The 25,608-nt window shown below is 38.3% G+C and overlaps 1 protein-coding gene across 46 annotated transcripts in view; it reads right to left on the reverse strand.

The window, feature by feature from the left end:
- TCF4 (transcription factor 4) overlaps positions 1–25,608 on the reverse strand; it is a 413,773-nt gene that overhangs the window by 60,325 nt on the left and 327,840 nt on the right. For 2 of the 46 annotated variants that reach the window (NM_001243236.2, NM_001348216.2), the window contains exon 1: positions 19,907–20,151. The exons of the other annotated variants lie outside the window; for them this stretch is intronic. In NM_001243236.2, the coding sequence (NP_001230165.1) occupies positions 19,907–19,975 (69 nt within the window). In that variant the 5' untranslated portion in view covers positions 19,976–20,151. Of the gene's footprint in view, positions 1–19,906; positions 20,152–25,608 lie in introns of those variants that run through there. 46 annotated transcript variants of the gene reach the window in all.

The following is a 25,608-nucleotide window of genomic DNA, read 5'->3' on the forward strand; positions in this document are numbered from 1 at the left end:
AAGTATGGGTTTCAATAAGGTATTTAATACTGACATTAAATTCAATAAGAAAAGCTCATACCCATTCAGTTTTTAGTATTATTATTCTAAGTATATAGAAAGTTTAACAACACAATTGTTAAATAAAATAGCTTTATTTAATCAATAGAATAATAACAAACATCCCAGATCTCTTCAAAGAGTTGGAATTATTTTTAATGACTAACACCAGAAAATCAGTCCAATCTAAAATGAAATAAAAATCCCAAATTCTAGTACCATGTACTAGAGTGACCCCAATGATAAAATATGAGGAAAATCTAATGAGAAACAAATATCTATCCTTGAATTTTTCTCCAATAATACGCTTAGATCAAGGTGACTGTTGGCATTCTGATTCCTCCCACAAGAGTAATTGAGAAGTGTGAAACTTTTGTTGCCGAATTGGAAATGGAAAGACTTGGTGAAACTCATAGGTCACAGCTCTTTTAGTAACCTATTTGTTGAGTAAAAACTTCATGGAAAACTAGTAACACAGTATATTTAACATGCAAAGTTAGCGCCATTATCTCTTCTCTTCTAATTCTGAATTTAGCAGACAATCATACATATAGAAATCCTGAGTTTAACAAAAATCTCTAGATAACACTGAACCTTGAACTGACCAAAGTAAACAAAAATGTTTTCATTTTACAGATTTAATTTTTTTTTTTTTTGGTAATCCAAGAAGTATTACTATGGTACATTAGCTGTTCCATTCAATGTTTCCAACTATTATTTCTGCACTCATCAAAGAAAAAAAAATTTAATTTATTCTAAATAAAACCTGTGCCTAACAGAAAAGAACAAAAAGCAAGCACAGAAACCAACAAACAAAATGAAACAAAGGTATGCCTCCTACTCTTTTCCTTAAGAAGCTCTCATTTTTACTGGTCTTGGCATATCGGTTTCACTTACGGACATTTTAAAATAATAATGATTACTCATTTGTTTAGGGCCTCTTGTGGAACCACTTTGGTGGCAAGAGTTCCACATACATTATATCTAACCTTCATAATGATCACACAAGGTGGATATTATTAATAGTATCTGCCCTATTTCACAAGGCTGACGTATCATAAGAAGGTCAAGTGTATTGGCCCAAACCAGCTTGGGTCTGACTGCAAATTCCACCATTTATTAACTAGGCAATCTTGGACCAGTTACTTTTAACTCTGGTCCTCAGATTCCTGCTTGTAAAGTGGAAATGACAATGCCTGCTATGCAAAGTTGTTGTGAGAATTAGATGGTATAATGTGTGTAAAGAAACTAGAATGGAACCTGGCACAGATTAATCATACAAAAAACATCAGACATTAGTGCTGAAGTCTTGTTGCCATTGTTTGTATTATTTGGACAAATGTGACTCAGGAATGTTAAGCTGTCTTTCCAGGTTGCACATTTTTCAAGGGGTAAAGCAAGGATGTGAACTGATCATCAAAGTCTATGTTCTTTCCATTAAAAAATAATTCCTTGCTTTTAAAGGGCAAAAAAGGTAAATAAAACCTATTTTAAGCTATTAACATTAGGCTATACTTGGGTCATAGTTTATAGAAATACTCTTGTGGCATCTGATAATGACCTTTTAAGAAAATAAAATATCGGCCAGGAACGGTGGCTCATGCGTGTAATCCCAGCACTTTGGGAGGTTGAGGTGGGTGGATAACGAAGTCAGGAGTTCGAGACCAGCCTGGCCAACATGGTGAAACCCCATCTCCACCAAAGATACAAAAAATTAGCCAGGTGTGGCGGCATGCACCTGTAATCCCAGCTACTCAGGAGGCTGAGGCAGGAGAATTGCTTGAACCTGGGAGAAGGAGGTTGCAGTGAGCCGAGATCGTGCCATTGCACTCCAGCCTGGGCGACAGGGCAAGATTCCGTCTCAAAAAAAAAAAAGAAAAAAGAAAAAAAGATAATGTCATAATGCATGTTATGGTGAAATCAAGTACTTGTTAAGTAACCTGCTTCCTGAAGGGGAAACCTTAAATCTGAAGGAATAAAGAAAAGTGGCTTCATATCACATCACCATGTGTGGTTGGGTGGTAGCCACCTGATTGTCCAGTAGACCTTTACCACTCCTCCACGTTACTACCCCCTGGTGATTCTGCAAGTACCATCTGCATATATACTTTCCAAAGAAAAATCAGTTCAGAATCACTGAAACGTTGTAATTGAGGCTTTCAGACCCTTCAAGAGAGTTACTGTATGTTCCATGGAAAGCAGAAAACAGCAAAGCAGAATGGAGCCACAGACGCCCAAGTACTGGCTGGGCTCATTCAGTGACTCAGGCCTTGGGAGAGTTCACAGATATCCTCAACTGTGACAGTTAAACACTCAAATGCCAAGAGTTTACTGAGTGCCACTGATGTCCACAGAACTACCCATGTACTTTGATGCTTCTCTCAGCATCTACTGGGGAAATATACTTGTAGGTGATTAGCTTACTACTCAAGAAGCTGGGTTGGACCCTCAACTCTTAATATTTTTTGAAGGACATAGGCCTCAGTAAGAAAAATGAATGGTTCCAGTGCAGTGATACGTCCATATTCAGAAGAGATAAGATGGACCCTGTAACTGTCCTATGTGACCAAGATAAAGACATTGCTAACTAATCCATAAAGCAAGGAGAAGATGTACTCAGAAGACACAGCATCCGGACAGTACATACACAGATTTGGCAGATTACTAGAAATCACCCAGCTCTGGAGTCTGACCAATTAGGTTCAAATTCCAGCTCTCACAATTCCTTGCGAGGACATAACAAAGCAATTTATCTCTCAGAACTTCAGTTATCTTATTTGTCAAATGAACCATTCTTGTGAGGATTAGGGATAATATATGTCAAACATAATTCTTAATCTGTCATGGGCCCTCAATAAATGGGATTATTAATTCTATCTCATAAGAGGTACTCATTGCTTATAATTATTTTTAACAATGGGTCTAGAAAGCTGCTGTCCAATCAGTAGCCATTAGTAATATGTAGTTATTTGAATTAAACTCAACCAAAGTTAAATAAAATTAAATGTTCTGTCCCTCAGTCACAGTAGCCATATTTCAAGTTCTCAACAGCACATACAGTCACTAGTTACCATACTGAACATCACCAACACAGGACTTTCTCATCATCACAAAAAGGTCTACCGGGGAGTCCCAGTGTAGAGTCATGTTCATCCATGAGGAAGGCACTGGGCCATGTTTGCCACTCGCCGTCAGGACAGCTATCACAGTAAGCCTAGCTCATGTAAGACTTGCTGTTGCTTTAGGCTGGGAAAGCAGGAACTCTTCTGGAGTGCTAGTGGGAGGGGCAAGTTCTAGGTATCCCTGCTACCTGGCATATAACTGCTGTTCAATAAATGTTGATTGTAATGAATGGCAGGATACTGGTATCTTAGCTTTATTTATTATATTTAGAGTCCTGAGTACTATTGCATATTTCTTAAAGTCTTTTTTTCTAACCATCTGCCAAAATACTTGCAAGTTGTGCCAAACAACACACCATGGAAGAGTATCTATGACCCCAGGTTTCTGGATATGCAGGAAATAAAAGGAAGAAACTCTTAATCCGCAATTTAGTCCTTGGCCTCTAGTGTTTTTGACAAACGAATTACAGTTAGACATGGTGTGATCACTTTTTATGGACAATAAAAGCTGAATATGTTTTTAGCTTTTTTGCTGTAGTTTTTACAATACTGATAATTGTAATTATCAGTATAATTGGGTCTCTCTATTCTATATTCTTTGTTTTTAGTACTATTTGTCAAAATCTTTTTCTACCTTTTTTTTTTTTTCAGATGTTCCTTTCTCTTTCATGTTACTTTCACATCTACTGCCCTCTGTCTTGCCTCTTGGCGTCATCTTTTTAAAGCTCGAATGAGTTCAACTTCATTTTGTAAAGGAGTCAAAGGAAGAGGTGAAAGGACTTACGCCAGGGCCTGGACAGAGCCCAGGCTCCTGACTTCTCTGCCAGTTCTCTTAGCATTCTCCTTCCTAAAGTCTTTCCTAAGTAGCTAACTTAAAGATTCCAATGGGCAGTCAAACAGCATGAGAGATTAGTCAAGAAATGGAAGAAGTAGAGTTGTGTAATGCACTGTAAGGCGTCAAGGCAGTTAATCATACTCAAAGGCACAAGACAGTGCAGGTGAACAGTCCAAGACTGCAAACAACCAAAAACCAAACCAAACCACAGGATTAAAGCTCATTCACCTCACATATTTTCAGTATTATCAAGTCAAGGAATATTTACTAATGGAGGAAGAAGAATCCTCCTTCACGTCCAAGTGATGGTTAAAGGGCGATCTCCATTATCACATAAATAGGAAATGTGCTTAGAAATAACACATATATGTCTTCAGTATGCTGACAAATAAGAGGGTATTTCTTATAAGTGGAAACATTTCACTGGTGTAAGCTGTTAAAATTGTGACACTTTTATTCTATCTAAATCAGTTGGAGTATTTAAAAGAATTAACTAAATAGTTCTAAGTGCCCCAAAACAATTCATGGTAAGAAGAGTTTTACTCCTCAAATTCTCTTTATTGGTAGTCTGAAAAAAAAAGAGTATTTCACAACTATCAAAAAGTGTAAAATGTACCACTTATGTGTATGATATTCATATTTCATTTTTACTAACTGAGCAATGACCCATCTTCCGTCTACCAGAATGCACCACAAAAATCTATGAAAAAGAATATATGTATTTCCCCAAAAAGAAATTCCCTGAGCATGTTAATATATTTAGAACACAAACCACTTCAAGTATACATCCATATCTATACACCCCATCACAAAAATCGCATAATTTTCCCGGCTTCTAAATATCAGCTGAGTCATTATTCATTCATGAGTACATTAAACCTGGGGCTAAATCCTGTAAATAATTTCAGCCAAGAGGCGTTTTCCCCTTCTCATTCACCAAATTTCCTTTCCCGTTTTAGGAAGTCACAAAACGGTAAGAATTTCAGTCCCCTTCCTTGTCTGTAACTGTCAATCAAATTACAGAACGGAAAAATGTCAAGAGGATCCAGGAGACGGCACCAGGAAGCAGCAGAGACCTGGGCGATCCACAAAGGAGCAGGAGAGGCCTGAGCAGGCAGGGATGGCCAGAACACAGCCCTGCACTCCTCTACCAGTGCACTCAGCCTGCAGCAAGCTCAGCAAAGGCACAGTAAAAAAAGTGAGCCATGCCAATTTAAGTGTGTGCCTTCTGCGTGCAAAGCACACCAGGGGTTACAAAAACCCTGGCGTTCTTCATGGCTAGGCAGCTCTACCTTGTTCTTTCTTCCCTTCATCAAAAGTCAACAATATCCTCTTATGTTTTTCATATAGCTGGCTGCAGTATATTTTTCAAATCAAATTTCAAACTCTAAATAAAAATGAGTTGGTAGCCTTTGACATGTATAGAAATTTACAAGGGGGAAAAAAAACCCTGCTTCAATTAAAACAAAGGAACTTAAGACAGAGCCACTAATAATTAGAAAGAATAATATTACAAATTAAATCTGCAGAGTGGCTCACTATTTTGGAAGTATTTTCAGTGAGTTATTATTCCAACTCTGAGGCAGCAAAACTGCCAGGAGAGATGTGAGTGGACTCACTCTGCTATGACGTCATAGTGATGTTATCATAGCTATAGAACATTTGAGATTTAAGCTATTTTCCAATATTATCCTACTGAATTCCCGCAGCCATCCCAGTGACATAAGCAGGGATCACCAACGAGAAAAACAGAAAAGAAGTCATTTTCAGAAAAGAAGTCATTATTTATATCTGTTTACACCTATCAGCTCTATTGCAGCCAAACTGTACATATACTCATTTTGCTTACATACTAATCCTATTGTTGCATGATCATCCCAATTTTATGGCTAAGGGATCTGAGGCACAGAGAGGTTAAGCAACTTGCTTAAAGTCACACAGCTAATAAACTGGCAAAACTGAGATTCAAAACCACGTAGTCTTGTTTTGGAGTTTGAGTTTTTAAGTACTACAACCGTATCTCCTGATAACTAAGAATTCTCTCCGCGGTGCTCATGGACTCCTACCAAAACCCAGCTTTGTAGAGTCCTAAGTCCCCTATACTGCCTGGCCATTTAGCAGCCTAGGGCTGTTTTGCCCGTAGAGAAGAACACAAGATCATCTCAGTCAGGGCAGCACAAAGGAGGTTCTTGTGTGTTACTGCAAGAAGCAGGACCATTCATCTGTCTTCCAGACATGAAGTTGAGCTAAGATGCAGCAGGTATTAATACACTTGTTTAATATTACTAGAGACAGAGAGAGGCTAAGTAACCGGCTGAGAGTTACACTAGGGTTTAGTGGTGAAACCAGACCCACGACTAAATATCAGCACACTAAACTGATTAAAAACCACCATGTTATTATCTGAACTATTAAAGCCAAGTGTAAATACAGTCTTGTCTATGTGTACTAGCCTCTGGCTCCAAATACTTCTTTATATTTTTACACCTGCATTTCTCTTGCTCTTGGCAATAACTGAGCAGACACTCTATGTTTCCTATTACTTTCAACGTGGTGTATCAGACGAATGCCCACTGCCAACATTATGAGTACCTTGGCCCTAGCTGAGAGTGCCTTAAACTGATTAAGTTACACCTGGCTAAAGATCTCTTGAAACACTTAATTGCCTAAAATTTGGTCCAGGTGAAACCCTGACTTCTTCCTGGTTACACTCCTTATGTTACTTATTCATGTGGGAGTTGGCTTCATTACCAGGCTCAGGGTTGGCACAGATAAAAGACTGCGGATGCTAAGCACATCACAACTCTAATATGTTCTAAACACTTAACTAAGTTGTTTCCAAACTTTTATTTACCAAATGCATTGATGTGCATGTGAAGAAATTCAAGGTAATGTTAAGGAGAACCTGATATATTATTTCAATTAAACATTATTGCTTCTGGTTATCTTAAATCTTAAACAGATGTAACTAAATTATTTCTATCTCTGTTTACACCTATCATATCAAATTCATGATTGTCAATTATGTCTAACAGATCATCTCACATCTCAACACTTTCTCCTCCTTTAGCAACCGACTGCTTTTTGTTTTAGATGACGACTACTGCTTCATTAGGAGGTGCTGGAACATCAAAATAGGTTTGGTTATATCTGCCAAAAAATAGCTTTGTGACCTCTGAAAGCACTGTTTTATCAATTAAATGAGGGCAGCACATCTTCCAGAGGAAAACAAATTCTATGACTCTACAATAAAGACAGAAATTAATTTTAGGTTTACTCCAATGTTGATTGTTATTTCTTCTATACCCTATTGTACATTAAGAAGGCCTGCTAAGGATAGCCAGTTGCAGAAACAATAAGGTAAAAAAGGCATTACCAAAAAAAAAAAAATGTGCAGGTGTGCTTGGACATATGTGTGTGTGCATGTAATGCCGGGCACAGAATAGGCTCAAAACTTTACTAAGTGCATGCATGCATGAATGAATAAACACACCACACATGGGATACACGTCAAACTAAGAATAACATCATAACACAGAGAAAGATAAACATTCATTGGTTCTGCCAAAATATATTTTAGTGCATTCCACTTCTCTAATGTGTTTAGGGCTGAGCTTTCTTTAGGATATGGAATTACCTATAATGGTCCTAAAGATTTTAAGAGCACCATTCCCTACCCTTTTCCCTTTGAATTCTAGTCCACAGGTTGATGCCTGAAGCCTAAAGCTGACATCCTTAAGAAAGGACTTAAGCTCAAATAACTTTAGATGCGATTGGAGTGAACAAGTTAATTTCATTGCTGCAGACTTTTGTCAAGGTACATTACCAAGAGGGGTAAAAGCCTACATCCCTGAAAGAGTTTCCACAGTCACAAACCCACTTTTCATCACATCTCCAATCACTCCCTGTCTTTGGGAAATGCTGTCACAGTTTGTCAGCAGTAATTACACTTCAGGGCAATGAGGTCTCAGATCTTTTCCCAATAATCAATTTTTAGAAAGCATTTCTGGAAAGCAGAGAAGGTATGAGGGTATTGAGAGGTTGTTACAAGAAGGGAAAGCAGTACAAAGAAAAATGCTAACTACATTATAGTTTGACCTTTTGCATACAACCCTAAAGGCGCTCTTCTTATTTCTCCAGTCCCAAATGTCTTTAGTGCTGTGTTTGTACCTAATAAGCACAGACAGCCAAAAAGCCATCATTCCTAAGTACCTATTCCTTCTCAGGAAGCAAGAGCGATCAGGAAGAAAGTTGCATCAGACACAAGCAGAAAGTCACACTTTGAAGAGTCGACATTCAAGCAAGAATGAAAAGACAGTGAGGCCAAGATTCTAACAGACATAAAATGATAATAATAATACTCAAAGAAACATTTCACAAAATACATAGGTACTTCTCTAGATATATTCTTTGATCTTGAACTTAATTACGTAAAGCAAATTTGACAAAATTCTATCATTAGTCATTATTAAAAGTTCACATCTTCATAGTATTTTAAATCAAAAGGACTTTTCTCATCCATTATCTTCTTTAATCATCATTTTGAGATGGATTATCTGTCTAAGTGGTCAACCATGCTACCCATCTTATACATTCAGGAACATAAGCTTGGAGCGGGTTAAGTGCCTTCCTTTTCCATGAGTCACAAGACAGAGTAAGGGCAGGAATGGGGTTATAACCTAGGTCTTTTCATTTGAAATCCTCAGTCAGAAGTTAGCACTTGACCAGAATATCCTTCCAAATCACCTACAGTCTAAGGAATCTGGTGGACAACTTTTCATATTTGTTAAAGATATCTAATAGTGCTAAGTAGAGTTATAAATGAACTCTGCTGTGCTTTGAAGCATCAAACTTAACTCTGGGTGCTTTAAACAGATGCCTTCATCTTCTGCTTACCAAGAGAATTGTTATGAACAGTGAGTTTCCAATCTGGTAAAGTTTTGAACAGGAATCACTGCCATGGTACACTGTAAAATTGTTACCCCATCTTCCCTTTCATAAAGCTGAAAAAAAGTACGAATTATCTTTTTTCTGTCAAAACATATGGCCCTAACTACTTTCAACTGAAAACAAAAGCATGAAATAATTACCAAATGTATGACTCTGTGGCACAGATTGAAATGAAAAAAATAAGTATGCAAGTTGTCAACATCTATGTCCAATCAGCTGCTTCTCTGTCTGTTACCCATTCAAATGCCCACCCTCTTCCCTCCTGCCCGGGGCAAACTTTTAGGTGAAATCAACCAGCAATATTTCACTAATTTAACTCAGAGCAGAGCTTTTAGCTAGCACAAAGCTAGGTGCTTTGGTAAATTACATACAAAAAATTAGAAGGGCAGAATTTTCACTAGGAACTAGTTGGGAGATTTATGAAGTACAATAAGCAACTAGAAAATGTGATAAAGTGAGTAGCCTTTTGTATAAACCATATGAGCTAAAGAAATGTAAAGGAAGTTATCCTATAGGGTTATTCAGAAATACTTCTTAAAGGAGGTGAAAGATGAATTAAGAAGGGCAATAATATTCCTGAGATAGGACCAGAAGACTAAATGATCAACATTAGTTAGTTCACGACTTCAGGCATATTTAAAATATAATTGAGTTGGCTTTCTCTAAATATTTAAATTTTAGGTATTTTTTCATTTGATCTAATTTTTTCTTAATTCAAAAAAATGTGCTACTGGCTACCTCAAATATTCTTCCGGAATGAGGAGGGCATAAATACATGTGAACAACAGCAATTTCTTTAACAATAAAAATTATAGTAAGAATGACCCTTTCATATTTCTTTCCAAGAAATGTAAACTTTGCTAACTAAATTACTTTGTTCAATAATTTTGGATTTTCAAAAATAGAAATGTAAAACCCATACAATTGCTTAAAATTGAGAAGCAGTTTAAAATTCTCAGTGTTGATGAAATTAATGAGAAAATGTCTTTACAAGAAGAGCAGCAGTTTTACACAACAAAAGGCTCAGGATTATTTCTGTCTTTTTTGTCTTCCTTGATAAATTAGCATCTAGTGAGAATTTAAGAGAAATATACAGACAGGTTAAAAGAAGCAAGGAATGTTTCCTATTTTTCTTTTTCCTGGTGGAGAAACATTCATTAAAGTAGATAGTTCTTTGTTTACATAATTAGGAAATATTAGGTCCTCTGTTTGGAACTTCCTAATCTATAAATAGACATGAATGTGTGTGTGTGTGTGTATACACGTATATACATGTGCGTAGATACATATATGTATACATATATACGTATATATGTATACATGTACATATATGTATATACACATACACACATCCATTTATTTACCCACATTATACATCTTTATACGTCTATATTTACACATTATTTACACACATTATACATATATACATACATATGTGTGTATAGCATATATGTATGTGTATGCCTGTGTGTGTATATAACATTAAAATTAAAGGTTTATAAAGCCTAGAAGTAGGGGGATAGGAAGGAACTGCTTAATGGATACAGAGTTTCCTTCTGGGCTGGGGAAAATGTTTTAGAACTAGACAGATGTGGTGACTGCTCAACATTGTGAATGTACTAAATATTACTGAATGGTTTACTTCAAAATGGTTAATTTTACATTATGTGACTTTCACCTCAATTAAAAAAACAAAATAACACACAGTAGTGGGCCCTTAAGTTACATGTTGTCCTTCAGAAAAAAAATATTAGCAAGGGCCCATCTGTAGGCAGATGGAATTCTAGTAGAGAGGACAAGATGATGGCCAAATTTCTTAAGCAGTAAGCCTTGTTATCAGTTGCTACATGGAACATTTAGGTAAATAATGTAGCTATTATTAGGAGAGGAGGCTGCCTTTCCACTGAAATAAAAACTGCTCTCTTACCAAAGTCACTCATGCTCTCTTTGTTAGCAAACTCAATGTTCTTCATTCCACCAAGAAAATCAACCTATGATTTTTCCCTCATTGCCAAAATGTCTTAAGAGAGCCAAATGGCTATAAATAATGATCCCTAATGTGCTCTACAGAGCAGGAGACATCTTTCTAGATTTGGTTCTATCGTTAATAGATAGAGGTTCTTAACCTCTTTCTCAATCTTCAATATTCATTTGAAAAATGTAGTTCATAGCATTTGCCACTGCAACAAGACACTGAGAAAACACTGAAATAGTAGGGGCCCTAAGGTATTTAATTTGTAGAGCATGTCCAGTGCCTGAATGATGCTGAAAATATTTTTTGATGTTGATGAACCTCAGTGTTCTTAAACAGAAAGTTTCTTGACATGTGGATAAGCTATTCAGCTCTTTTTTCCAGTAAGTCCAAACAGGATTGTGTACTAATAGTATAATATGGAGAGGAATATGGAACAAATATTGGGGAAGAATGAGCTCAATTTTCATTAAATGTATTTCATCTTCTAAACTTTCCAAGGACTTTTTTTTTTTTTTTTTTTTTTTTTTTTTTTTAGAATTCATATCTTGGCCAGGCATTGTGGTTCACGCCTGTAATCCCAGGACTTTGGGAGGCCGAGGTGGGCGGATCACTTGAGGTCAGGAATTCAAGACCAGCCTGGCCAACACGGTGAAACTCCATCTCTACTAAAAATACAAAAATTAGCTGAGTATGGTGGTGGGTGCCTGTAATCCCAGCTACTTGGGGGGCTGAGGCATGAGAATTGCTTGAACCCAGGAGACGGAGGTTGCAGTGAGCCGTGATCGCGCCACTGCACTCCAGCCTGGGCGACAGAGTGAGAATCTGTCTCAAAAAAAAAGAAAAAAAAGAAAAAGAAAGAAATTCATATCTTATATGAATTATCCAGGTCGTATCCCCCGATAAATACTACGGACTCCTTAGGAGCAAAGATTGTGGTTTAGAGCACATCCAATACAATGGGTTGCCCAAAGCAAGCACCCAATAAATAGGAAACAAGGAAGACAGCCAAAGTAGAAGAGAACCAGTCCTTTCCTTCACTTACAAAGTTTAAGCAGCAGAATTTTAGTGTTGAAGGGAAGTATACATCATGCACCCTTTTTCAGAAAAACTGTCCTTTGAATCGTAAGTGGCTTCCATAGGTGTTGTGCGTGGGGTGAACTTCTGGCCTTGTACCAGGAAGAAGATATCATATGGAGATGACCCAGATGTGAAAGGTATCACGCTGCAATTCCACAGTTGTCCAGCACTGGGTGTGCAGAATTTCTCAAGAAACTCATCGATGTAGAATTTACGAATATCTCTGACTTGCTATATTTATCTACACCTCAGTTTCTGCATCCAGATTTTCTTTTTATTTTACTTTTATTATTGTAGGGACAGGGTCTCACTATGTTGCCCAGGCTGGTCTCAAACTCCTGGCCTCAGAGAATCCTCCTGCCTTGGCCTGTGTCCGGATTTTTAAAATAACAGTTGCAAGAAATTATAACAAACCAAGAGTCAGTTTATGACTTTAATCTTCCTCCCAAAATTCGGAAACATAATCAGAAGTCACAGGCAAGTTAAGACTATGCATCATCTTTGATGGTGTTTCCTATTTCCACTGGATGGAGAATCAAAAACAGGTTGGACTGACTTATAAGGAGGCACAATCCAGAATGCAAACCTCAAGCGCACTGACTGCTTGAAAAACTCTCCCATTTCACCTGCCCCCTAATTCTTTCTGTTCTTCATCCCGTTGGCCTACACTGCTCATTTTGCCCTTTGCATGTGTTGTACCATGTGTTGCTGTCTTCTGTTTTATATTTATGATCTGTTTTCTGAAATCTCCCAGGCTGCAGGTGTGTCATTCCTTACCTGGTCACTCTCTATGTCTGGTAGATAAGATAATTGATGCTCATTTTCCGGTGATGAGGACGATGATGATGACGATGATGGAAAATTATCTTGCAATGCCTGTTCTCCACTTCTTTACCTTCCTTCCACACTCACTACTTCAATGAAACTGCTCAAGACCTCCTGGATGCTGCAGCCAAATGTCACTTCTATCTTTCAGCAACATCTGACACTGTTGACAATTTCCTCCTTCTGGTCAGATCTGCCTCCCTTGGCTTCTCTGACTCTAAGTTTTCCAGGTCCTCCTATCCGTCTTGACTTTTAAATTCAATTACTTCTCAGGCATACCCATTTGAAAGGCTCCTCGTCACATTCATGATAAAATCTCAACTCCTTAATAGGGCTCACAAGTCGCTTTTTGATCAGGCCACTGTTTACCTTTTCAGTCTCATCTTTTATGTTATCCTTTTGTACCATAAGCTTCTGGCATTCTGAACTACTTCTGGGTCACCGGATATGCCATGCTCACCCCTGCTTCCAGTTATAACCCTTGCATTTTGCCAGCTTAATTCCCATTCATCCTTGCACTTCACTTCCTCTAAGGCCAAATGTGGACTAGTTGTCCTTTGTATATCTACCTTAAGGAGCCTGTACACCCCAATCAATGCATTATCAGTCTAGGTTTTAATAGTCTGTTTGCCTATCTCATGCTTGTCTTGTTCAGGGTTATATTCTAACAGCTCACTCATAGTAGGCATTTGATAAATATTAGCTGAATTACTTTATTCTGTCAAACTTCTTGCCACCATCTGAGTGAAGGAGTTAGGAAAAGTACATTAAAGTGTTTTTTTTTTTTTTAAACAACCAAAATAACTCCTCCTGAAATAGGAAAGATGAAATCTACTGCCTCTCTGTAACTCTCTGAAACTGATAATCTCAGGCGATAGTGCTAGTCCAAAGAACAGATACAGGATTTCATCCAAGTGCATGTCAATGACTTACCATCAGTGGAAGAAGCCTGAAGCTCTGGCTATTTTTGTTCCTTAAATTCCCTGTGTTCTGCTCCTGTACTTAAAGCCAGATGCAGAGGAATCCCAGGATTTAGAATCTCTCATGTTAGCTCTCTTGAGTGCAATGTGGGAAAGAGAATGAAAACTTCCACTGCTTAGAAGTCTGCAGAGCTCAGGGATAAAAATGAGCAGGAACTCAAGTCATGGTGTAAGGGTGAGAGTCTATGATCGGGCTTCTACTATATGGCTAAGAGAGGGCGTCCTTCATCTTCATCATGTTTTACCTGCAGTGGTTTTTGGCTTCAATTTAATAGCAATATTGTCTTTGGAGCCAGTTTCTTAAAAATGATACGTTTCTTCTGTTATATGCCAGCCACATCAAAGAGGGCCACATCAGTGTGACTGCTCCTAAGGTGAAATAATCTGTGGTGTTTTCTAAAATGGTCTGAGGTGAACAAACCAGGTAAGAAAATGCTAAGATTTGCATTTCCTTGAAATGCAATGTTATTTTTGAGCTCCTAATTGAAAAAATTTAAACTGCATATAATTAAGTGTGGGGGAGTGCACCAAGGTGGCTCACATTTAGGCACATGGTAAACTGATTTGCCGTTGAACTAGAAGGCTAATATTAGGAATGGGTGAGCCAAGCCATGCTTTGTGTTTGTTCAATGTCTCATACTATTTTTCAAACGTCATGGGCTCAGCAAAACCCAAAACACATTTTCTCAGCACTTCTCTCTATTTTTCAACCCATATGTATTTCGAGAGAAGCTTAATTCATATGTTTCTGATTTCTTTACATGCAAGTCATCAGAATGTTGTTTTGTAGGAACTATTTGATGTCCAGAAAGCCTGTTGAGTCTTTTCTTTGAGGTTTTTTTTTTTTTTTTTTTTTTTATCCCTTAGGATCAGGAAGCCATGATTTCCAAATAGAAAAAAAAAAAAAAAGGAAAGAAAGAGTAAAAACACTCATCAGAATCCCCAATATTTTTTCCTCAAAGGTTCAAATTTTGTTTAACAGAGCGCATAGAGTCTGAGTATAATTCTTTCATTGGCAGGCTTGTATCATACTGTATTTTCCTGCTCCTCATTGACACTGCCTTTCTTGAAGTTAGTAATGTCTTCCTTGTGGATACAAAAGTACAAATTTGCAATGTATGAATAACAAGAATAGATCTTAAAGGGAGGTGGTGAGCTAGCTCTTCACACACTAAGTGAATGCATTCTGTAACGTGCTGTCAGGGCTGAGGGAGAGGGTCTGGGTATTAAGAGAGAGGAAAGTAGTTAGCTCCTCTCCAAGAGAGTCCTGTGAAAATAAGCACAATTTTTCACTCCATTAGGCATTGTGCTGGCATCCTCTTTCCTCAATTTATAACTGTAACTCTCTGATTCAAGTGTGGTCTGATGGTTGTTTGCGTGCATTACAAATTATAATATAATTTTATAAATATTTCTCCATTTGTGAATAACTACAAACAAAAAACAAAAACAACAAAAAAAGAAGCAAACAAAAAAAAAACTAGCAATTTTTAGGACTTCCAAGGACAGTTTGAGTATCCCTACATTGAAACTTTTGGCAAAAGTGGTATCCCTTTTTTAAAAAATAAGGTTTAAGACACTATATATTACATGTAGGAGGGCTTTTATCTTTTAACATCATTGATGTCTATCTAAATTTGATCATTTTAAAAGTTGTCTTGAATGTAGTAATATTTTAGAAGACTGAATCAGATTTTAATAGTAGTGGACAGTCTTTTTTTTAAAGGTGCTGTATATAAAAAAGATTGGCTCCTCTGCAAGCTTTCCTAAATTTCAATCTGCAAACCAAATTGATGTTGGGCACGAAGCATCCAGTCGGTATCTAACACTATCTCATGCCTCTGAAGTGTGTCTCTACAAATATAAACCCACATTTCCCAGCAGACTCTTTGTCCTCTGTGAGGGTAGCCAGATTAGGAATGCTGGTTCATCTGAGTGAGAACTGAAAGATTTCTACCTATGCTTCCTTTCAAGGCTGAGATATCTCTATTCCCTAAAACTCTTTTCCATTTTCCCATTTCAAAACCAGAATGGTGTTAGGGCTGAGAAGATTCAAAACAGTCTTCTCAAATCAAATATCTCTCCAGCACAGCTGCTGTTAAGTGACCCACCATGTTCGAAGACAGGCTCACAACCCATATACTACGGTTTTTTTGCTATGAGCCCCCAATACTATATATTTCAGGAAAGCAATGTTTTTAGAAAAAAACCCCAGCAAATTAAACTTCTCAGTATATCACTCTTCAAACGTAGCTAATAGTGGCATGAGCAGCAAACAGAAATGTTGTCTTAAGCTATCACACTGAATGATGATTTAAGGGTACATATGTGTGCATTAAATATCAGGCAAATAACCAAATAGCTACTACTAAAACATGTGACTAGAGCAAATCACTTAATTGCCAGTTGCTCTGAATTCAAACGTATCTCTGAAAACACTTATCCCATTGTATGAAGATTATGAAATAGCAAAATAAAATTGTCATCAAGACTGTTGAAAAAGTGATTATTTAATACACCAATCTCTACATCATAAGGAGAAAGTTGGAGCAAAGAAAAAAAAACTGTAGCCTCATGAAGATATACATTCAGTAACCATTATAAAGATACGGCCAATTTTCTCTCTAGAGTCGATCAGACAGACATTTCCCTACAATTTAGGTCAATAACTTAAGTTTTTTAGTTTCTACTACCTTTTGATAAAGATCAGCTCTAATATAAAGATAAATATGAAGAAGTATGTCAAGCAGTGTGATTAGGTTTCAATAGCTGGCCTTCAAAACTAAAAATTCATCTCACATTTAAAAAACTTTCTTGGCCAGGTGTGGTGGCTCACGCCTATAATCCCAGCACTTTGGGAGGCCGAGGTGGGCGGATCACTTGAGGTCAGGAGTTTGAAACCAGCCTGGCCAACATGGTGAAACCTCATCTCTACTAAAAATACAAAAAATTAGCCAGGTGTGGTGGTGGACACCTGTAATCCTAGCTACTTGGGAGGCTGAGACAGGAGAATCGCTTGAACCTGGGAGGTGGAGGTTGCAGTGAGTCGAGATCGCACCATTGCACTCCAACCTGGGCAACAGAGCGAGACTCCATCTCAAAGAAAAAAACAAGCTTTCTTGGGGGAGCATGTTTCTGCTTTTTTTTTTTTTTTTTTGGGTCTGGTTTGCTTGTTTTCAGTTTAAAAGAAGGAAGATGTTAATGGCAGCATTTACTCATGAGATACCACATTATTGTTTCAAATGGTATAAATTCCTAATTGTGAGTAATATTTTGAAATGCAATAGCCAAAGTGAAAAAAGTCAAAACCTCATGGGCTGCCCATCTTAGAACAGATTACCAGACAGGTAAATTTGAAAGCATTATAGAAAGATGTTACTTTGAAACAACAAAAAAAATGTTGCTGGGTAACATTCAAAGTGCCTATAATGTTCTTTTCTCCTCTTTGCCTCTCACCATTCCCCAATAGTAGACCCTCCCTTGGCATATTCACAGATGCAATCCCTGCTGAGCCACAGTAATGAGGAGTACCCCCTACCATCACAAATTTAGTAAGAGAGAAGTCACTGTGCATGGGAGATGAGTCTCCAACATCTTCCTTCTGAAGGGAAATGCTCATAGAGACACACATGCCTCACTTGCTTTTCCATCATCTTATGGCCTGGGATGTACAGAAAGATGGAACCCCAAAGAACTCCTATCCATTATCATCATCTTCCTGTCCCTATGCAGCAGATGCACAGATTCCAAGAGGTGTCTTAAATGAAATACACACACATACAGATATACACACACACACACACACACACACACCCCACATTAATCTCTATTGCTGCTATTTTTCAGCATCATTTCGATGTTTAACAATCTGAACTAACAGCCATTTTAAAACATGTCCCAAGCTTCTGGAGGGAATCTGCCCCCTATGCCAACCATTTGTTTCTTAACTGTGGTACACTTCCAACCATCTTGATGGACTGACCTGCTCTGGGACTGAACAGAAGAGTGGACAATTTTTTGTTTGTTTTAATTGAAGGTCCTTAATGTGGGCCACATGTTCCTGGCGGTCATTTGGAAGGCAGGGGCAGGGAATGCAAAGTGGCAGGGAGTTGGGGGTGGGGGAGGGGTAAGTGGGGGAGGGGCTGGATGATGAAAAGACCAGTTCCACAAGCGAAGCACATTAGCAACCCAGAGTGGAAAGGGCCGGAAGGAAAACCCACCCACCTCACCCCTGCGTTCATTCTATCAACCTGCAATTGCTGCAATCAAAACCATATGTCGGTTCTTCCAGATCTTTCTCACAGGACAAACATGCGAAGGGCCTCAGGCCTGGCGTTGCCATCAAATGGTAATTGATACCATATGAGCCACAAAATAGAAAAGCACATGCAAACAGCAACCACTCTCGCGGCACCCTCCTCCCTCCCACCTTCCAATCCCCTGCTTGGCCCCTTGAGAGGGATGAAATTGCAGGTCTTGCCGGGCTGCTAAGTGCACAGTGCACCATGAAAAACAAGTGTATGTGGCTCCAGTAACCACCTGTAAATCAGAGAGAAAGGAGGGTCCACTAGCCAAGAGCTCGTCCCAGAGAACAGGCGAAGGCAAAAGGTCACTCTGGGTTAATACAAGGTCATCGATCATGGGGGAAAATGAGCACAGGTGTGAAGCAGATCACAGGCCCAGAGCAGGGAATGACCCCCCTGGTCCCTCAGCACATCCGGCCTGGAGAAAGCTCGTTACCGCTAAGCCACATCTGTCTTCCTCCCCTCCCACCAGTGAGATAGTGGGAAAGTGGAAACCACTCCCCAATTACAAGGCAATTAGAAGAAAAGTGACCCCAATCCCGTATCTGCTGCTCTCCTTTTCTGAAGCCCTTTTGCATCCCATTGTTCTCACAGCAGAAAAAAAAGTCAAGAAAACCCGCTGAGCTGGGGGTTCTGCCAATTGCTGGTTGAATGTAATACAGTAGGTAAAATCCGTCTCTTATTTCCACCAACACTGACAGAAGTACAAGTAGCATACGGCTCTCGCCTCTGCATGTATATATTTTCTTATTAACTCGATCGGGCAGAAATTTGCAGAGATTTGTTTGGATTTAGAAGTCACAACAGAATGTCAGTTTCACAAACCAAGGCTCATTCTGTGGTGAAATGTACAGCTCTGGACCCAATCGTTCACCGCACACAGCTATTTGTTCCAATTCCTCCAGCAGCCGCTTCTGAACAAACAACTAACTTATTCTAAACACACGCAACGGCTCTAATTTTTCTTCCTTCCCCCTATCCCATTATATGTGATATTCTAGTCTTATAGATCTTATGAAGTTTAAATATTTTCCAGATGGGCCTAGGGAGCACAGAACCGTGTAAACACTTTAAATTATAAAAGGGCCAAGTAAACACTTAAAACAGAAGAGGATGATGATGAGATTCTTCTTTTGCAAACAGTAATCTAGTGAGCTAACACCAAAAACTGTAAAAAAAAAAAAAAAAAAAAAAAAGTGGGGGGGGATTCGGGTGGGGGAGAGTTATCAATTCCCTTTCTCCCCCTCCAAAACTCTTGGAAGATGAGCTGATTCATCCTCGTTTAGGTTGTATCTATTTATATCTTTTCTAAGTAAACCGTTTCTGAGAAAAAAAGATGATTTAAGCTCAATTTACAATTCAATACATCACAATGGTAAGAAACAAAACCGTGGTTGTAACCGAATGATAAATTCCACTGTCCTGCAGAGGGAAAATTAATAAGGCCTATTAACTCCGTCCGTTTGCCCTGATCCTCAGCAGTCCTCTATTCCTAAAAGTCTGGCCACAAAAGACCTGAACAAGGTGGCACTTGCCAAGGACCCTCGGCCACGAGGCAATCCAGGAACATTCGTAATGACAGTCAGCACCAATCCAAAAGAAAAGGACGTGAGCAGATGAAGGTGGTAAAGTAACCCGGGCAGAGCGAATTAAAATGAAAGTTCTGGTGAATGCCAGGGAAGACAGAAGTAGTGCAAAGCAAATGGGTAACATACAAGTCAAAGCAGCACAGTGCAGCCCAAGAGGTGTCAAGTCAGGCAGGCTCAGGATAGACCACTTTGGGGAGACTCTGACCTTACCTCTGCTTTCCCTTCGTGGTCCAGGCAACATAGCCCTGTATCTGAGCATCTGCATTGTTTAAATTTCATCCTGTGGTGTTGTTTGCTGATTGGTCAGACATGGCTGACAGCATCAGAACTTCAATCTGACACACAAGGAGCAAGCAGGACCACAGCCCAGAATTCATAATGGGAGGGAGAGAGGGAACTTCATGCTGGATATATGAAACTCAGACCCGCAGATGTCCGCTGTGAGGCCTGTGGCTGGCCTAGGGGTGGGAGGGCCTAGGATGAGACCGGGAGGAGGGCATGAAGAAGGGGAGGTGGGACAAGCCCAGCCACCCAAATGACCAGGCATGAGGCGTCCCCTGGATAAAGCTGCATCTGGAGCCCGTTTAGCAGCTTCCTTCTTGCCACTCCCAGTTCCTGTGACCTCCTGGGAATAGAGGAGGTCTCCTTCCCTGAATGCCTCTTTTACAGAATAAAAGTGGTGTTTTCAGTTTGGGGCAATGCATTTATTTCTCAAAATATCTGACATTTTCCCAAGTAGAGAGAAGCTACTAAAGAGAGCCCAGTTGTCAAAAGCATCCCATCCAGATTTCTCTTATGGTGAGGAATGGCCTCCAATTTAATGGACTTCCTTAACTCTTTGATAGCAGTAAAGCAAAAAAGTAAAGGAAGAGACAAAAAGGTTGAAGGTGTTTAAGACGTGGCAAGTAAACTTGCCATAGAAATAATGAAAACAGACAGAAAAGAAAGAAAATAGCTTGCAAGTGGGAGAGGAAAGAAGAACCTCCTTCTCTTCCTACTTCCAACCTGGCTCCCAGTACGTACACACACACACACACACACACACACACACACACACACACACCCCTACACACCTGACCCAGCTACTGGCAATGGGTGCAACTGAGTTTACCTGATGTAAAATGCAGGATCGCTTTCCCTCCTGAAAGTTTATATGTAGGATTATCACCTCCAATTAAGGGTCAGTGTTAGTCTATTTAAACTTTTGCCTTCGTGTCCCTACTACATAGAATCATGACTGCAACTCTAGGGAGGAATATCAGTCGAATATAAAAATCCAAGCAGACTTCCTAGGGCTCAGCAAAGAACATTACTTGCAATTTTTCTCTTTCCCAATTTCTCCTTTTCCAGAATTCTTTGTTAGAATTTTGGAGAAGGTATCATGGATTCTGTAATAATTACAGAAGAAGAAAAGATATAAGGTGAAGTAAGGACAACAGTGCAATAAAAAAAGATGGATAAAAGTGGCAGGATTTGAGGATAAAATAATGGCTGGAGAGATCAGGTTATTAAAACAAACAAGTGAAATGGACAGAAAAAAGGAAGAAGACCCTTTGGCTGAGGGGAAGGAAAAGGTTAACACGACATGAAAATCAAGATTTAATAAAAATTAATCCTTGAAAACACCATCACTGATTTAAAATCAATTTGAAATAGTGAAATAGCAAAGCAGGACAAAATAAATCCATCTGGTTTAAAATAAAAGAAAACCTCTACCACAACCTTCTCACCTCTTCACTTCCAAAAAAGAAAGAAAGAATCTCATTTTCCTTTCTACGGTGTAAACATTAGTTATATGGCCTAATTTTCTAAATAAAGCTGGAAAGACAAACCAGTGAAATCCAAAGAGTTAAGGAAAGGATATTAGCATAAAGGAAATATATATGAAAATTAGAGCAACAAAGCAGCAGGAGCAATAGATATAAGTAAAGCTAGAGGGTCAGTGTGAATGGCGGAAGTTGTGAATAGGAAAAGAAGCCCAGAAGGAAGGAAGTGGCCAAGGTGGTCTGCATTTCATTCAGTGAAGAAGACGGTATGAAAGAAACATACTAGGCAAGCATACAGAAATGACTGAACACCAGAAAACATAAACAAAAATATAGGAATTCGATGTGAGAGTAAGACAAATAAGCCTAATGTAACAGAGATCAAATAGACATTGGAAAAACAGAATGCAGTTTGTCAGAAGCATTTAAAAAGTGCCTTAAGATACATAGAATTATAAATACAGTTTTGCTAAAGGTATGCTAAACAGCACACCTTTACAACCACTATAGACTGAGGAGATTATATGAAAAACAATATCATGCATTTCTTGAATCTACTTCCTAATTAAAAAAAACTGTCCCAACTTCCAAGATCCATTTACGATTGCATGAGACAACAACGAACATATCACACGAGGGCAGAATTCCTTGTCAGGAATGAACCTAAGTAATGCAAATGGTAGTTTTTTGGGGCACATTTCATTATCCAAGACATTCAAGGTATTAAAGGAATATTCATGCAAGCACCTCACCCAAGACCAAAGGAAATCTTTGGTCCTTATTCAAAAGGTTCAATCTACTCATGAACTAGATATGGGAAGGATCAGTTGAGAAAATGTGATTTAAGAAGAGAGCATTTGTAGCATTAGCTCTGAAAGCCTGAACCGCCTTTCAAGCTCCTGGCCTAGTTTTTAACTCAGAAGAGGATCAACTTTGTTTCAATGATAAACCAATAATTGCATATTTGGTGGAAAAGTCTACAGCTCTGTCAAGCAGCAAAGGAAGCATGGTGACAGCAGTTTCAGGTGACGGGACACAATAAAAACAATGAGGAAAGAAAATGTTTGCTTTTTCTGTCAACTGAGATGTCAGTACCCATTAATAAATCTATCTGCTAAAGCTACTCTTATTCATGTGGGACATCACCAATTTGAAGTAAAATAAATTATCTTTAATTAAATGGAATTGTCGTCTTCCTCCCGCTATCATCCCCAATTATTACATCCTAATCAGCCTTTTAGGGAGAAGGCAAGAGAGAAGGCTGAAAGGCACATTGACTATAAACAATTTCTCTTTCTGTCAACTGGTAAAATTTTTAATTTTAATTATTGATTATAACTACAATTTTTCGATCTAAGTAATGAAAACCACAAAAATTCTGTCACTTACAGGGGGAACACTGTACATGGTCACTTCCAAATTTCCTTTAACTCTTTCTCTGTGAAAATTTCCAAAAACCAGAAGAAATCACTATGAACTAAGCAAATTATCTATTTAAACCTAATCTATTACTTTTATTTCCAGTACAAAAGTACCAGTTTCAATTAATACTCCAGAATGCACAGCACTAACTGAATGCCAGCTAGGATGTATGTTTTTGGTTGTTAAGCTTTCAAAAACTAGGATTACGGAATGGTATCAATTTATGTTTAGACAAGAATGGTATATACACTTTAAATATTAAGACATGTAACTGGATAAATGGAGGTGGGTGATCTTATTACCAATGCTTACGATTTCCTCTGCCCCAGTTTTCAGCTCCCCTAATTCTCTTTTTTTGTAACTTCACCCAAATTCTAACAAAAGCAATGTGTATTTTTAATCAAGTGATTCATATGAAATATATGCTATTATCAGTTTCCATACTGATAGGATAATGCCCTTCAAAATAAATGATGAAATCAATAAGTAAATGAAGTAGTGTGTCACTCCCACTCCAAAGATACAGAGGTGAACTATTTTCCCAAGAGTGACAAAGAATGAATTTAGGAGCAACTGGGCACACCTTCATTTACCGTGCCCCTTCCGACTCTACTCCCAACAACCAGGTTGGATTTTGTTTGCTTCACTTTTTGTTATAACTATAGACTTTGCAAGGGAGGGTGGGGAGTTTTCACCTTCCATGTAACAACAAAATCAACCACTGAAATTGGGAAGTGAATTATTAATTATTTGTTCTACATAGAAGATAAATGTATCTAGAATAAACAGGTAAGGGTGTTGACTGTTTTCTGACTGCTTAGTGTTACTTTTAAAAATGTAATTTTTTCAGGGTGTAGTACTGTTTTCATTTAGCATGCCTTTGAATTGCCGCCTACAGAAGTAAAAAAAGAAACCACAGCTATACAAGCCTGCTGACTTTCTTATAAAAGAACCAGTTTTTAACTTGTTTATACTACTGATTCCAAATGAATTCAAGATGGTGGCTAGTTAAAGAAAGCAAGCCCATGCCAGGGAGTTTGATCAAAGAACTTCAATTCAGCAATGTTCAGTTTTAATTGACCACTAATTAAGCTACATTAGTCCAAGAAAGGTCTGTATCACTTTGAGTAATAAAGAAAAGAATTAATTTAACCCTGTGTCAGTCAGCTTTAGTAAATTCATCTGAAAGCAACTTCTCAAACGACAGGCATGAAAGAGGTGTCTGGTGTTAAATGCCAAATGTGGTCTACAGAATTCAGAGAAGACCAGGAACTCCGTTTTCAAGGGTATTTGTTACTTTGCTAGTGATGTCACCTTGCAGGTATAATTATCTTCATTACAGATACAAAGATGTCAGCTTTACTCCCTGGGTTGCAAAGGGTTGCTTTAAAATTGGATTCAAAACATGGCATCATACCAGCCACAGTTTTAACTTTCCTGTATTCTAGACAAAAATAGAGTGGATTTGCAAAATCATGAGAATTTTCAAAGGCTTGGAACTCTCCTTCTGGGAAAAGTGAGTTGAAGACTGGGTGGGGGCAGGGGGAATAAAACAACTGCAATAACACCACCAAAAAAGCTCATTATAATTAGGAACCACAAGCTATGACAACCATGACAGCAGCATTCAAAGTCCATGTGTTAAAATAGTTCATTTCTGAAAATCCAGTTGCAAAATTTTTATTTTCCCACACATTGTACATCAAAATTTTTTTATCCACAATTCTGATTTAAAAAAAGGCTTTTAGGAAGAGGGAAAAAAATTATAAAGCAGCAACAAACTCCATTTCAGGATTTAACATCAAGATGTAAGATATAAGAAAACACTGCTTTAAAACTTGGGTGTTTATGACTGGTAAAGTCCTTCACCTTAACTCAGAGGTAAATGACCTATGGTCTTATGACAAATGTCAAATAGTAAAAATATGTTTACATTTTAAAAGTAAACCCAAACGTCAATGGTACGCTGGCTTCTATTTTATATTAATTACCTCTGCCCTCCAAGCCTGCATGAAGAGCATTGGCTGTTGTATCACTGAAAGCCATAAGGGTCAAATACTCTTGAAGAGGTGTACTCTGTGGCCTCAACACACATTATATTTCGTCTTAATAGTTTCTGGCAACCAAAGACTGCATTTTCTACAATAGTATTTAATAAATAACATTTTTAAATCATTCTGCCGGTACTCATTAAAATGCACTTGTTTGTGAAATGCAATAGTTAGCTCTATGAAACCAAAATATTAATGCAAATTGGAATTTCTAAGTTTAAAGTGGTATTTGCATAACAGGAACTAAACGTGGCACAAGCTGAAAGAGTGCACAGCACACAAATGCTTCTCAACACCATAATTATTACAAACAAAATGATGGCTTACATATACACCATTAGAAGCCCAAGGCATCTGCCAGTCTGTGTCACCATAGGCTTCCAGTGCTCCCAATGTCTAGACTGTAGCAACGAGAGGATGATGGGGAAAGCTCTGGAATTGTCTCACCTGTTAAAGTAGCACAGGTACAAGGCACCAACAATCTCATTCCCAGTGCTTAATAATAGCCTAGGGCTAGCCCATTCATCTGTTGCCACCTATGGTTATCACTGAAAAGTAATTAATATGATTTTGAGTGCATGTATGAATGAACATGGTCTTCAGCACTACCAACGCTAACTGGGCACATTTGTCCAACTCAGTGATGCAGGAAATGGAAAGATAGTATGGATGT

Source organism: Homo sapiens, chromosome 18, assembly GCF_000001405.40.
Source record: "Homo sapiens chromosome 18, GRCh38.p14 Primary Assembly".
Taxonomy (NCBI): Eukaryota; Metazoa; Chordata; class Mammalia; order Primates; family Hominidae; genus Homo; species Homo sapiens.